Raw genomic sequence first — 15447 nt, 5'->3', positions numbered from 1 at the left:
AGAGGAGGAAAGGAAGAGAGAGGAAGAGAGAGAGAGACAGACACAGAGAGAGGCACGCAGGAACAGAGAGAGAGGGGAAGAGAGAGGGAGAGAGAGAAAAAAGAGGAAGAGAGAGGGAGAGGAAGAGAGAGAGAGAGGGAGAGAGAGGAAGAGAGAGAGAGAGAGGGAGAGAGAGGAAGAGAGAAAGAGGAAATGAGAGAGAGAAAGGAAGGAAAGAAGGAATGGAGGAAGGGAATAAAGGAAGGAGGGAAGGGAGGAGGAGGAAAGAGGGAAGGAAGGAATGAGGGAGAATGAGAGGAAGAGACAGAAAGGAAGGAGGGAGGCGAGAGGAAGGAAGAAGGGAGGGAAGGGAGGGAGAGAAGGAAGGAGGGAGGAAGGAAGGAGGGAGGAAGGAAGGAGGGAAGGAAGAAAGAAGAGAGAGAGAAAAAGAAGAGAGGAAGAAAGGAAGGAAAAGAGGGAGAGAAGGAGGGAGGGCGGGAAAGAAAAGCTCCCTTCTCTCTCAGCCCCTCCCACCCCTGGTCCTGCCTTCATCCTGCTTCATTGGAGAGCAGGGGCCACACCACCTTTGGAAAGCATTTGCCCTCCGTCCAGCCACCTTCCAGCCATAACCTGGGAGCAGAAAGGAGAAGGAAAATGCCCAGAGTCTGGGGAACAAACAACAGAATTATGCAGATTGCAGATGATTTTTTTTGCAGGGGGGAGTGGATGGTCCTGGTGGGCTACAGAATTAGAGAAAGGGAAGAGTTTACTGTGTTCGGAATCTTCCAGTAAATAGAAAAACTCAACTCTCATTTAAGGAACCATCTGTCTTTCTGGTGGAAAGGGATTTACCCTTGAGAGTACAGATGAGCTTCACAGGAGGGGACACAGAATACTGCACAACTAAAGCAAATGAAGTCCCAGGCGAGCGGTAAAACAGGAAGAAAAGCAGCGTCAGGGCCGTGAAGCCGTGGGGACACCAGGCTTCCAAGAACGGTTTACATTCCCCCAAAACAAGCCAGATAGGCAACGCCCGCGTGGAGGGGGGAGGAGGAGGAGGAGCAGGTGGGGACCTGGGGTGTTCCTGGCTATGTTTTGCGGTCTAGTGACCTTCCTCCTCCTCTATTACTCTTCCGCATTTCAATTCCCTTTAAAAGAACACTAAACACTTTTAGACACAATCTGTTCTGGGTCAATATTTGTTTCACCTTGGCAAAGCTTCCTATACAAACCTGTGATCATATGCCTTTGTTTTCTCACTTCAGGTACAAGGTAAGACCCCAGCAATAGTAAATGATAGCATGAGGGTTTCATGACGATGTAATTTTATTTTTTACGACCACTGCTGGTTAGACTTTTTATTATCGTGATATGACTCATTTTTACAGAGAGGTGAGCACAAGATGGGCCAAATATGAGATGTGGAATCAGGAAAAACAGAAAAAGTGGAAGAAATGGCAAACGTGGACGTGAGAGCAGCTGGGTTTTCTAGCTCTGGGCGTCTGCAGGAATCATGTTCCAGGAAGGGCTGGGAGAGGCTGCGGGGAAAAGGAAGGGGTGCAGGGGAGTGTGCCCCACCCTTGCCCTGTGCCTGCAGGTGGGCCGGACTTGGACCCTGCCTGGATGATCTGCGAAGAAATAGGGTTCCAAAAGGGCAGATCCCAAGACAATGCCTTATAAAGGTCCTGGCTAACGTTTCCATGGCAGCTTGCTGAGTGGCCGAGCTGATCTCAGCCCTTCCAGGGGTGACTCATTGACTCCTCCCAAGCTGGAGAGGTGAGAGTTCTTTTCCGGTTTACATATCAGGAAGCTGAGGCATGGAAAGGTGAGGTGATTTGTCCCGGGTTACACCTTCAGGAGGTGGTAGAGGCAAGGTTTTATTCATTTGTTAGGATGATCCACGTTTTTAACCACCTGCCAGTCATCCCGGGGTAGAAAGCTCAGACTTCCTCTTAGCAGCAGACTTTTCTAGCCTTGTTTTCTCACTGGCAAAGAGGGGATCACAGGGCTTAACTCACTGTGATGATGGAAGGACTCACATGAGCTATTTTATGAAAGCTGTTAGGAAGCCTGGGACGTGGTGAGCACTTGATACCTGGTGGGCGCAGGACTGGACGAGGGAAAACTTGGGCTGAGAGCCCTGTGCTCAGGACACCGTGAGGACACCCGGCAGGTGCATGGATGCACTTGGCGAGGCTGGGAGAGGAGTGATGTTTCACTAAAGACCACTCCCCTTCTTTTCCCTCCACTGACATCTTCCAGGTAGCTGGAGACCACCCTGGCTGAGCTGTGATCAGTCGCATCTAGACTAGTTTGGTGTTTCAGAGCAAGTCTCTCAAATGCCCTGTGCCTCAATGCTCTCATCTGCACGTTGGAAGAAAGAATTCCTGCTTCCCAGAGCCGTTGGGAGGAGTAACAGAGGTGAAGTGTGTAAAGTACACACGAAAGGAACTCAGCTGACAGCAGCATCTTCACTGGTACCCTTATCGTTGTTTTAATTATTGCATTGTCGTCCAAGCTGATGGACTGAGGGGGGTCATTCCAGTGGACACGGGGGAGCTGAGCTGTGAGGGTCCTGGATTGCGTGGGGCCATGTCTGACCTGCAGATGCTGCAGAGTTTGGGTCGAGTTACACGTGGAATTGGGGAATCCCCACTGAAGGGCGCTCTCTGGCCTTTTAGTGGCCACGGTTTGCAATTTCTTGAGCCAGGGTCACCCTGAACATTCATTTCAAGAAACAGGCTGATTTCACGTAGCTTCTTTCTGACTAATAAATTCAAACCATCCTTCTCCTGAATCCACCTCAGCCTGGGCCTGAGCAACACGTGGCATGCTGGGTTTGCTCTGAGCACCTGCTCTGGAGACCCAGAGCCTTTGTTGACCTTCTGCTGGTCAATGGAAGCCCTGCAGTGGAGGCTCCAGGGAGTGTGCACACCGCGCCTTCACCAGCGCTGGGACCCCAGACCCAAAACTCTGAGGGAATTCCAGCTTGCATGAGGTTGGGGCACTCAGGAGACAGACCTCCTGGGCTCCAGGGGCTTTGCAGGCTGCTGGCCAGTGGAAGACCAGCTGCGACCCACTCTCTGCCAGGCTGGGGCTGCACAGATGCCCAAGGACAGGGCTTCATGCCTCACACAACTTTCTGATTAAAAGGCAATCAATTAAAATAAATCCCTTCGTTTCTAGGGAAGCCCCATCACACAGGCATCATCTGGGCTTGCGTTCTGACATCAGGGGAAGCTGTGAAATCACACAGCAATAAATAATAAAGGCTTGAGATTAAAGTGCTGATCCTTATTCCCAAATTGATTTTAAATATAATGAGGGTTATTATTTATACAATGATCCAGTAAAACTTAAAGTTCATTAAATGTCTCTCTGAGTCTTTGATTATTTTTTAACTGATTTGGCCAATATCTGTAAGTGTTTTCTATTATCCAAACCATATTTATACCTATATATCTATGTCTATATCTATATCTATCTATGTATATCCCATACAAATATAAATTCAGGCAAATTCAGTTAAAAGATAAATAAATAACAATATCTCATATATATGATATATATAATCCATATATATTATATATAATCCATATATATCATATATATAATCCATATATATCATATATATAATCCATATATATATATAAAATGTATACCCCATGTAGACATGGGGTATATATTTTAACCTAAATGCATTGCTTTAACTTCACTCATGACTTCATGCAACCAACAGCTCCTGTCATCATGTACCTAGGAACGATTGAGTAACTGGCAAAAGCCAGTTATTTCATGTCATTTCTGCTGACTGAAATTCAGAATAAATACTGCTAACATTTTCCTGTGTGGAGGTTCAAATTTAATATTTTGTGAATCCGGCTAGGCACAGTGACTCATGCCTGTAATCCCAGCACTTTGGGAGGCCGAGGAGGGTGGATCATGAGGTCAGGAGATCGAGACCATCCTGGCTAACATGGTGAAACCCCGGCTCTACTAAAAATACAAAAAAATTAGCCGGGTGTGGTGGCGGGTGCCTTTAGTCCCAGCTACTCGGGAGGCTGAGGCAGGAGAATGGCATGAACCCGGGAGGCAGAGCTTGCAGTGAGCCGAGATCGCACCACTGCACTCCAGCCTGGGTGACAGAGCAAGACTCCATCTCAAAAAAAAAAAAAATTTGTGAATCCCCCCAACTCTCTGACAAATTCAGTGGTTGTTAATTTCTTTAATAACAATCCATCCTGTCTTCAAACACTAAGCCTCTTTCTAACCTCAAAGAAACCCCAGCAGATGTTTAGTTCTTTAAACCATCAGAATGCTCAGTGCTGTGAACATTATTTACTCAACAACTACTTCCGGAGCACTTACTTTGTAAGATCACAGGAAATCCTGCAGCAAAGCCGCCATTAATGTCAAGGTTTCCATTGTGCCCTAAAGGATCCTTTCTGGCCAGGCACAGTGGCTCACATCTGTAATCGCAGCACTTTGGGAGGCCGAGGTGGGTGGATCATGAGGTCAGGAGTTCGAGACCAGCCTGGTCAACATGGTGAAACCCCATCTCTACTAAAAATACAAAAATTAGTTGGGTGTGGTGGCGTGTACCTGTAATCTCAGCTACTTGGGAGGCTGAGGCAGGAGAATCACTTGAACCCTGGAGGCTGAGGTTGCAGTAAGTGAAATTGTGCCACTGCACCCCAGCCTGGGTGACAGAGCCAGACTCCGTTTGAAAAAAAAAAAAAAAAAAAAGGATCCTTTCTATGGATAGGAGGGGAGGGAAGAGGCTGCATCAACAGGCCAAGTGGATGTTCTCCCTGCAGACACTGTTGAGCCAATGTGGGGCATTAATCAAAGCTCACCAGTGCCTCAGACCAGCCTCCAGGGTACATGGTGCCTGGGGCTGGTGGGCAGCTGCTGTCCATGTCTGCCTTGACCAGCTGTGTTAAGGGTTTCTGAAAGGTAGCTTGTTCCCAAATCTGTGCCTTCTGTGTTTTTTAGTGTAATTTCATAATTTAACAAAATGTTTGATAAACCCATGAAATACAAGATCCAAAAGGATGGATGAGATGTGTTATTGCTGTACAGTTAACTGAATGCTCTGGAAAGATTAAATACAAACTACAAATGCTGTTGAATTAGACATGTGCAAGAAAACTAAGAATCGTTGAGAAACATTAAAAAAATCGAGATAGATTCTCAGATATCTTTAAAGATAAGTTCTTGATCTGTTTTAAGAAACAGTTGCATTCTTTCATGCTCGGTGGCTGTATTTTGAGGAACGAGGCACTGGGAGTGGCTTTCTAGGGGCTGGGGGCTGAGCAGAGGCCTGGCACCTGCGAAAGCATCAAAGAACAACTCCCATTGTGTCGTTTAGGCTAACAAGCAATATTTGTTGTCATTATTTTCTCTGCTTAACCCATTTTTAAAAATGAGCTTTTTTTTTTTTAAAGCAGTTGTGGGTTTGTCGCACAATTGAGTAGGAGGTACAGAGATTTTCCAAAAAACTCCCCTGCCCCCACACATAGCCTCCCTCACTACCAACACCCCCACTAGAGCGGTCCATTTGTTACCATCCATGCACCTATGTCACCGACACACCCTTGTCACCCAGCATTCAGAGTTTACGTCAGGGCTCAGCTTTTTACCTGTTAGGAGGGAGTGGCCACCTCCAAGCCCCTTACATCCTAGGTGGGAAGCTGGAAGCTCTTCTTCACCAACTTTTAAATTTAATCGACCTCCTACTCATACAACTTTTGCTGCATGGGAGCTTTGGAAGGTTAAAAAAAAAAAAAAAAGAAAAAGAAAGAAAGAAAAAAAGAACTGATCCCTCCAAAAAGGAACACTGAAGTGCTGAGGTTCCCAGATGAAATCACAGCTCACAGCGTCATCACAGGAATTTCTGGATAGAAGCAAGCAAGTGCTTTGGGGGCAACTGAAGTTCATTCTTTGACCACTGTCTGCTCTCCGCTGTGCCCGTGAGCACAGCTGGCCAAGCCGATGGCAGAAACGGGCAAGGATGTCCTGATCCTCTAGCTTCCGGCGGGGTGTAAGCAACCCCGGCACGTTTATCCAAAACACGCCCATCCCGCTGCCCTGCAACGCCTTGTGAATGAATCGTGGACCTCCAGCGCCAATCACTGTTCAGGGGCTTCCTGCCTGCTCTGCGCTGTGCCCTCTGGTGCCTCGGCTTTTGGAGAGAGTTGAAAGACTCTTCACTTATCACGCACTGGTCCCACAGTAGAGGACCTAGCGATGGACACGGGACACTGGGCAGGATTCAATTATGTTTCTCAGTTTGATCGAATGCTGCTGAGTCATTTTCTTTCTTTTTTTTTTTTTTTTTGCTTTGTCACCCAGACAGTGGGGTGACCACGACTCACCACAAACCTTGACCACCCAGGCTCAAGCAAATCTCCCCGTCTAGCCTCCTGAGTAGCCGGGGCAACAGTTGCATGCTATCACGCCTGGCTAGTTTTTTATTTTTTGTTTTTTGTACAGATGAGGTCTCACTATGTGGCCCAGGCTGGTGTTGAAATCCTGGGCTCAAGAAATCCTCCCACCTCAGCCTCCCAAGTGCTGGGATTACAGGCATGAGCCCCCATGCCCAGCCTCTGAATCATTTTCTTTAGGTTAGCAAACTATTCGGCCAGATCTTTTAAATACATGAATGCTTTATTGTTTTGTTTTCCTTTAACTCATTCTGTTCTCCACACTCATTTAAGGAGACAAGTCTGTTCATTTCTCCACCAGATACATTTTACTGTAGGATTTGGGAGTGACAAAGCCGCGAGTCATTTAAACAGCGGGGTTGCATGGCTCAGAAGAGTTGACTACTCACATAAGTCAGTGTATTGGCGGAGGAGGAAAAATACTCCTTTAAATACGAGTAATAAAACAATATTAAAAGTAGACCAGGCTGGACGCAGTGGCTCATGTCTGTAATCCCAGCACTTTGGGAGGCTGAGATGGGTAGATCACAAGGTCAGGAGTTTGAGACTAGCCTGACCAACATGGTGAAACCCCACGTCTACTAAAAATACAAAAATAGCCAGGCACGATGGCACGTGCCTGTAATCGCAGCTACTCAGGAGGCTGAGGCAGGAGAATCGCTTGAACCCAGGAGGCGGAGGTTGCAGTAAGCTGAGATCGCGCCATTGTACTGCAGCCTGGGTGACAGAGCAAGACTCCATCTCAGAAAAAAAAAAAAAAAAAAGTAGACCAAGGTTCCCCTCAAGCAACTGCTTTCATTCAAGTATGTTTTTCTTTCTCCTCGGAATGCTCCCTTAGTCACTCACTGGCTGTGCGAATCTGGGCAAACTGATTTTTCTGTCTGTGCCTCAGGTTCCTCTCTGTGACACAGGGAACGTGATCATGCCAACAACATCCTTTGCTGTGAACATCAAACAAACAAACACATGTGATGAAGTTACAACAGCCCCTAGCCCATAGGAGGAACTCAGATGTAAGTATTATTGTTTCAGTGTTCCCTTTGAAGATAAAAGACAAGCCCCAATACTCTGCAAGTTGTCTTGCTCTGTGCTGGACTTTCCACAAACCAGAGGATGTCAGAACAGTTTCCAGAATTTTCCATGCTAAAAAAGAATCATATGAAATTGTGGCAGGCCAGGTCTCACTAATGCAGGCCTCCGTAACAACAGTTTCAGTAGGCCTTTCCTGGGCCTTAAAGCATGACAAAATAATGAAGGAATTCTTAACAGGGCCCATTTAGGATTAAACAAGTTTTATTGGGGCCTGAAGGAACTGCCCAAACCTCCATGATTTAGCAGGAGACAAGATAAGGGTAATCACCCCGGAACCTGGACCATTTGGTGAAGTAAACTTACTGAGGCTCGAGAGGAAGGTCTTCAGGACTCAGATATTAGTTATAGACTAGAAGAAGTTTATCATCTGTGTCTTTAGATGAATGCTTAGAAGGTAGATAAGCTCTGGAAAACTTTGTAATTTTGAGTTTGTCTGGCAATAATTTCCAGGTCTTCTCCCTGTAACCGGTGGCAGAAAATAAAATCTCTCTTCCTCCCCAGTTCATCTGCATCTCATTATTGGGCTGAGAGAAATAGCCGCCTGCCCCTCAGTTTGGTCTGAGAACAAAACATCTGAAGCATGCGATTATTTTCGCAACACTTGTCTTCCGTTTCTGCCATAGCCTGTTAAAGGAGTTCTGCAATGTGTGGGGCCAAACTGCAGCTCAGAGAGTCTCCAGTCAAGAAGGAAGCTGGCCAGGAACTACTGGACGCTTGGAAATGTCCAGCCTGTCCCCAATTCCTGTTCCCCTGGGCAGCTGCCCCCGCCTTGCTGAGGGCTTGAGTCTCCTTTCTCCGACAGTAACATTTACCAATGCTAACATGTTTGTTTTCTCCTCTTTGGAGAAATGTTTGTGATAAATATGCAATATTGATTGCAGAGGTACTGATTGTGATGGCTTATTTAATATGTATTGTTCTGGAATGTAGATCAACTTCTATATTGAAAGGCAGAAATGTCTGAAGTGGTTTAATATTTACCCTGCTTTGCTGCTTTCAGATTGAATGCTTACATTTTTGGTTTCTTTTTCTTTTTTGAGGCAGAGTCTCGCTCTGTTGCCCAGGCTGGAGGGCAGTGGCGCCATCTTGGTTCACTGCAACCTCCACCTCCCAGGTTCAAGTGATTCTCGTGTCTCAGCCTTCTGAGCAGCTGGGACCACAGGTGGGCGCCACCACACCCGGCTCATGTTTGTATTTTTAGTAGAGACGGGGTTTCGCCATGTTGACCAGGCTGGTCTCCAACTCCTGGGCCTCAATCAACCCACCTGCCTCGGCCTCTCAAAGTGCTGAGATTACAGGAGTCAGCCACCACACCCAGCCCTGAACTTTTACTTTTAATTATTCCAGAGACAGTAACAATCAAGATATACCAATTGTGGCTCAAAGTGAGAAGTGAGAATTCTAGCTAAAATTGTAAGAAAAAAAAAAACCAAACTGTAACAACCAACCTACCAGATAAAGAAGAGAGCCAGGATTTTTAATTTTAAAATTTCTCAGAAATGTTATAGAAATGTATCATTGTATTAAATGCAAGCTGTATTGATCAGATTTGTGAAAATTCAGTTTTCTTTCCTAGTTTTCTTACAGCCCTGGGATTTAAATGACTTTTCCAGAAAAAAAAAACCAAACCAGAATAATCCATAATTTGTAAGGAGAAAATCAAGACTGGATAATTATTTTACTTTTGAAATTTTTTTCTTGATTATAGTTTAAAAGGTAGATTGGAGTCTGCAGGTACCATAAGACTGAATTTACAAGGATTTGTTCATTGTTTTCAGAGAATGAAATCTGTATTCAGCATTTCAGACACTAGAGGGAAGCGTTTGACTGACTTAAGGCTCCTCCAGTTCAAGAGGAGAGAGAGAGGGAGAGAGAAACTCAAATGCTCCTCTGCGATAATGTCCATTTTTTTGTTGTTGTTTTCCCTGATTTTCTCTCCCTTTTTTCTTTCCCTCCCTCCTTCCTCACTTCCTTCTTTTATTTTGTCTTTCTGTTTTCTTATAAAGGCAATCTTCTTAAGAGCTCAAATGAACATTCATATTTTATGCATTTAGAGAACAAAGAGGCCATGAGGTGTGTTCTCACTGTAATGGACACCAATCACGGTGTGAAATCACGGCACCTGGTTTTGGTCCTTAAACACCATTTGAAACCTTTGTTAGGTCAGTGGATATTAATTTCTGGGGCTATGTTTCCTCTCCATTTTTCCTGGGTTCTTTATTCCACCTGGAAGACGTTTCCCTCTGAAGTTGCTGGAGAGCAGAAGCAGGCCTGAAGCTCATCCTTCTAGGGAGCCTGCTGAGACTGTGACCGAAGTGTGAGTTCGTCACGGTCCTCACAGTCTTCATGGTCCTCACAGTCCTCCCTGGCTGCAGTGCGGTAACCGCACCCTGGCCCTTGGTGGACCAGGCAAAGAGGCGCCCTAGTCGACAGGGAGGAAGGCTATGGGCTCCTGCACTTTTTTTCTTTTCTTTTCTTTCTTCTTTCTTTCTTTCTTTCTTTCTTTCTTTCTTTCTTTCTTTCTTTCTTTCTTTCTTTCTTTCTTTCTTTCTTTCTTTCTTTTTCTTTTTTTTTTAAGACAGGATCTCACTCTGTTTCCCAGTCTGGAGTGCAGTGGTGCAATCATGGATCACTGCAGCCTTGACCTCCTGGGCTCAAGCAATCCTCCTGTCTCAGCCTCCCGAGTAGCTAGGACTATAGGCAAACATTACCATCTGTAGATAATTTTTAAAATTGTTTTTTGTAGAGACAGGGTCTTCATATGTTGCCCAGCTTGGTCTCGAGCTCCTGGCCTCAAGGGACCCTCCCACCCCAGCCTCCCAAAGCATGGGTATCATAGACATGAACCATCAAGCCCAGCCTCCAGCACTTTTTAAAAACTTTAAAATAGAATTAATAACAGTGGTTACTTTATGGGGTTTTGAGGATCCTATGATCATGGCATCTGGCATACAGGAAGTACTCAACGTTTATTACTTATTCTTGTTTTAAGTTCTAGTTATTTTAAAATCTCTTATTTCTTGTTAAAAACAGGTTGGAATTATTGCACTATATTGCACTATAATAATAATGATAATAATAATATTGTAACTGGTAATCCTTAAAATCTTCCTCCTAGACCATATAAACTGCTAAATGTTGAGAACTATGATTCTTGTTTGACATGTAGGGGAGTCACCTAATCCATACATTAAGGAATAAGAAATATCTTTTCAAGTATTCCTGTATTCAACTTAAAATAATATCTCCATCCCACGGAATTGTATTTTCACCTTCTTGATTGCCAACAAAAGAATGCTATAGCATAGAATATATTTTGTAATATTCTTTGATTTAGAGTTTCAGATTTCTGACCCACGGAAAGGCAAGATATTCTAATTCTGCACTGCCCAGTAGGGTGGCCTCTAGCCACATGTGGCCACTGAGATCCTGCAGTGTGGCCTGTCCAAGCTGAACCGAACTCTTGGTGGGAAATGCTCACCAGATTTGAAGACTTTGTATGACAGAATGAACAGAAATATCTTGACATTTTTGTCTCAGGTATATGTTAAAATAATATTTCACATATTGGGCTTAAAATATATTATTATTATTATTATTATTATTATTATTATTATTATTATTATTATTTTGAGACCAAGTCTTACTCTGTTCACAGGCTGGAGTGCTGTGGTGCAATCTTGGCTCACTGAAACCTCCGACTCCCTGGTTCAAGCAATTCTCCCTCCTCAGCCTCCTGAGTAGCTAGGACTACAGGCATGTGCCACTACGCCCAGATAATTTTTGTATTTTTAGTAGAGACGGAGTTTCACCATGTTGGCCAGGATGATCTTGATTTCCTGACCTCGTGATCTACCCACCTCAGCCTTGCAAAGTGCTGGGATTACAGGCGTGAGCCACTGTGCCCGGCCTTAAAAATATATTATTAAAATTGCTTCTATCTGTTTCTACTTAATATGCTTTAGAAAATTTAAAATGGCATCTGTGGCTTGCATTGTATTTCCATTGCAGTGCTCTCCTAACTAATTTTGTACATCAGAAAATTCAAACTATTACTTATTATAGCCTAATATTTTATTTTATTTTATTTTTTGGTTACAGGATCTTGCTCTATCACCTGGGCTGGAGTGCAGTGGCATGATCGCGGCTCACTGAAGCCTCATCCTCCTGGGCTCAGGTGATCCTCCTACCTCAGCCTCCCAAGTAGCTGAGACCACAGGCATGTGACACCACACCCAGCTAAGTTTTGCATTTTTTGTAGAGATGGGTTTTCACCACGTTGCCCAGGCTGGTCTTGAACTCCAAAGCTCAAGCCATCCTTCTGCCTCAGCCTCCCAAAGTTTTGGAATTACAGGTGTGAGCCACAGCATCTGGCCAATCTTAATATTTTAAAAAGTCAAACAAACTGATGGAGAAAAACAGGTTGAGGATGCATTCACTTGAGAGTTATTTATTAATTATCAATTATTATTATTATTATTATTATTATTATTATTATTATTATTGTTATTTTTTGAGATGGAATTTTGCACTTGTTGCCCAGGCTGGAGTGCAATGGCGCCATCTTGGTTCACCACAACCTCAGCCTCCTGAGTTCAAGCAATTCTCCTGCCTCAGCCTCCCGAGTAGCTGGGATTACAGGCGCCCACCACCACACCCAGCTAATTTTGTATTTTTAGTAGAGACGGGGTCTCTCCATGTTGGTCAGGCTGGTCTTGAACTCCTGACCTCAAGTGTTCCACCCCCCTCGGCCTTCCAAAGTGCTGGGATTATAGGCATGAGACACCGCGCCTGGCGAGAGGTATTTAAAAGGGGTCCACCCAGCAGGCCCTACCCATCCCTTCTCATTTGCTCTTCCTGTAGGTTTGATGACCTCTGAATAATTTGTCTTTTCGGAAAAGTGGCAAGTAAAGCCCTTTTTTTCCTTCTTCCTTACTTTCTTGGAAAAGCCGAGTGTGAATATGAATTATCAGCAAACTCATCAAACTTGGATGAAGGAAGGTGCTGGATTCTATCTGCGAGGGTTCCTGGGGTCCGATTTCGTGGCGTGGTTCTGGTCAGTGCAGGAGCGTGTGCTCTGCTGAGGGATCACGGAGGCCTCCTCGTAGTCAGGGCTCTCTGCTCCCACATGAGCTCATTGAGGCCCATCTCCCTAAAACATTTCTGCATTTACTCCTTAAATAAACACATTGCATTGCAGGCTGGGGAATGCCACACCATATTCTTCCCTTAAAATGTCAGAAAATGTCTGTGCTTTATAAAAATTCATTCTCATGTTAGCAAGCTTTACCCCTCATTCTCAGGGTGATGAAATCAGTGGAGATGGATGATATTATCCTGAGTTTTTTCTTCTTCTTGTATTTTAATGAGCTTCGTTGCTCTGCTCTCTCAGTTTATTAGAGATCACCCACTGCCGTGAGCCCAGGAGTTCAGCCGCCTTCTGTGGCTACCCAAGGACCCCCATTTCCATGTGATTCTAATCTTGCAATTCTCTTCTTCATTACATTCTTGCCATGCTGGCTTTTGTAAGATTCTAGAAAGCATTTTACAATACACAGGGCAGGAAAGGCATCATTTATAATACATGGTAGTTACTCGTCTTTTATTTATAAATCATTTTGCTTGGAAGGCTTTTATTTCTATGCAGGCAGTGAATCCTCAATTTTGTTTAAACGAATTCACTGCTTCCTCTTTATTCCTACTTTTTTTTTTAACATAACTCCAATATCTTCATAATAAATAATAAAATAATTACTTCTGTCTCGGGTGTCTGCACAACCTCCAAATACATTCTCAGCCTGGGCTCATATGACATTGGCTGTGATGTGGTCAATTAATCTTGGGGGTCTATAGCGTGCTGGTCATTCTGTCCTGATTGTATCCAAACTGACTATGAAGATGACCAAAATAACTGAGTGATCCTGCCCACTTAAGAATGCTTCAATTGCTGGGCACATTTTGGACCTAAAAAAAACAAAGTAATTACTATTTTCAAAGAGCTGGATTTCCAAGGCCTGCTGCCTATCTGTAGATTAAAAGAAAATGGCCCCAGGTCACCGGGTGCTGTAACCGGAGGACACTGGAATTGGAATCTGAGGCCTCCTACATTGACCTTGACCACTTTACTTGGTTTTTCTGAGCCTCAACCCTCAAATATAAAACAGGGGTAATAATAGTACTTAAGGGCTCACATGGTCATGAGGATTCGATGCAGTTATGTTGGAAAATATCAATTTGAAAATGGCACAGCAGTGTGCAATATCATTTCTCTTTTATTATTTACATTGCTTTACAAGCAATTGCGATCTTAACCCTGGCCATCCTTCCATAACACTTTGTCAGGGAAACTTCAGCTTTGTTAATCAAAGAATGAAAGGAAGGGAAGTGGCTGAATCATGCCGACAGATCAGTAAGCCCAGATATTTCTCTCCCTGGGTCCTACCAGGGTATGATTCTTCAACAAATTTTCAAAGCACATTCAAATTTCCCAGGCCAGCACAGAGACAGCAGTGTGTTTGCTGGCTTGCAGATTTCCTGGTGCTTTGCTACTGGCACTGTGGCTCGTTAGTCCAGGGGGCTCCTCCTTCCACCCCAGGATTTAATTCTGGGTGGCTTTCCCGGGCAGGGGTGGGGAGCGTCCGGGGAGGGATGGGCGTCCATGTGGCCCTGGGGACACCTTTCAGGGAAGGAGAGGCCAGAACCCTGATGGCTGCTCTGGCCTGGTTGGGTGTGCAGATCTTGGGGGTGACCCAGAACCTCCCCCTTGCCCCTGCCTCAGGCTGCTTATCTTCTTAAGCTCTCTGTCTTGGCTTTAGAGATTGTGGAGTTTCAGGCAGCCAGCCTCAGACAAGTCACAGCCACACTGGAAAATCAGCCCTCCCGTTCAATTTAGAGTGAAATTTAATGGCATCGATGAACAATTTGCTATAGATTTTTAAATAGACATTATTTTTTAGGCCAGTCTTAGCTTCACGGCAGAATTGATCAGAAAGTAGAGAATTATCGTACTGCTCCCCACTTGCACACACCCTCCAGAGGGCCCACGTGTCGCAATCGATGAACCTACATGGACAAATCATTACCACCCAGAGTCCACAGTTCACACCAGGGCTGACTCTCGGTGCTGGGCATTCTGTGAATTGGACAGATTTCTCACCTCTGCCACTGCAGCACACACAGGGTAGTTTCACCTCCCTGCAAACCCTCTGTGCTGGGCTGATTCATCTCTCGATAATTTGCTATGGGTTTTTTTTTTTAATCCTAAATTTTACCTTTCAATTGGACATTGTTTTTATTGAAACCTGAAGGTAATTTGGTCTCGGTGACTTTGTTCTGTTAATTACTATCAGCAAATGAATTAAAGCTGTGCATTGGAATGTTTAAACATTTTAGTTGAACACAGTGATGCTTTGAAGACACTTGTGGTGCACTGCATAGCAGATATATTCTGATAAAACTTTTTCTGTTGTGGCAGGCAGTTTCTGTTAGTTGGTCAGTGGAATTTAAGAAGCAATTTCCAAGAGTACAGTACCTTGAGTGGGGTGATTTGATATTACATTAAATTCTACTCTCCAGAAACAAAAACAAATGTTGCCAAGCCTCAGATGGCATTTCGAGTCACTAAAGCAGCCAGCTGTGTGAACTCATCTCCGCGGCCTCCCAGCCCTGTCGGGGAGGTGGAAGGGCCTGACCTTGTAATCTTGCAGGAATTGGCTGTCCAGGGAGCTGCTTTCCTCATCGAGACTTTAGGTTTGAAGAAAAACAATACGTAAGCAGTGAGCATTTATCGTACAGGCAACTGTTTCTAGCTGATCTGATTAGGCCTTCCTTATATTACACAAGAACACCCTTCAGATGATGCTCAAGATGATTCTGTTATCCTAGAAGTTTTACCTCCACCTTTTTTTTTCTTTCTCAGCCTGTCTTCAAA

The 15447-nt window shown here is 44.5% G+C and overlaps 1 long non-coding RNA gene across 4 annotated transcripts, besides 1 other annotated feature; it reads left to right on the top strand.

Annotated features, from left to right (window-relative positions):
* Nucleotides 1-1182: 1182 nt before the first annotated feature.
* LOC105376352 (uncharacterized) lies at nucleotides 1183-11277 on the top strand. 4 transcript variants are annotated; one of them, XR_001747271.2, is made up of 4 exons: nucleotides 1183-1251; nucleotides 1368-2456; nucleotides 10855-11057; nucleotides 11176-11277. It is a non-coding gene; the product is annotated as an uncharacterized LOC105376352 (long non-coding RNA). The 4 variants fall into 4 exon arrangements; XR_930557.3 differs by lacking the exons at nucleotides 10855-11057; nucleotides 11176-11277 and having other exon boundaries at nucleotides 1368-1755; nucleotides 2242-3267; XR_930556.3 differs by lacking the exons at nucleotides 10855-11057; nucleotides 11176-11277 and having other exon boundaries at nucleotides 1368-1804; nucleotides 2242-3267.
* Nucleotides 2411-2910: an enhancer, noted in NCBI's record as "H3K4me1 hESC enhancer chr10:3026909-3027408 (GRCh37/hg19 assembly coordinates)". NCBI's record gives its function as "activates a minimal SCP1, AML or CMV promoter by ChIP-STARR-seq in primed H9 embryonic stem cells {active_cell/tissue: H9 hESC(primed)}" and the evidence as "EXISTENCE:reporter gene assay evidence [ECO:0000049][PMID:30033119]".
* Nucleotides 11278-15447: the final 4170 nt, after the last annotated feature.

Source organism: Homo sapiens, chromosome 10 (assembly GCF_000001405.40).
Source record: "Homo sapiens chromosome 10, GRCh38.p14 Primary Assembly".
Classification (NCBI taxonomy): Eukaryota; Metazoa; Chordata; class Mammalia; order Primates; family Hominidae; genus Homo; species Homo sapiens.
This window is presented reverse-complemented; position numbering and strand designations above follow the sequence as displayed.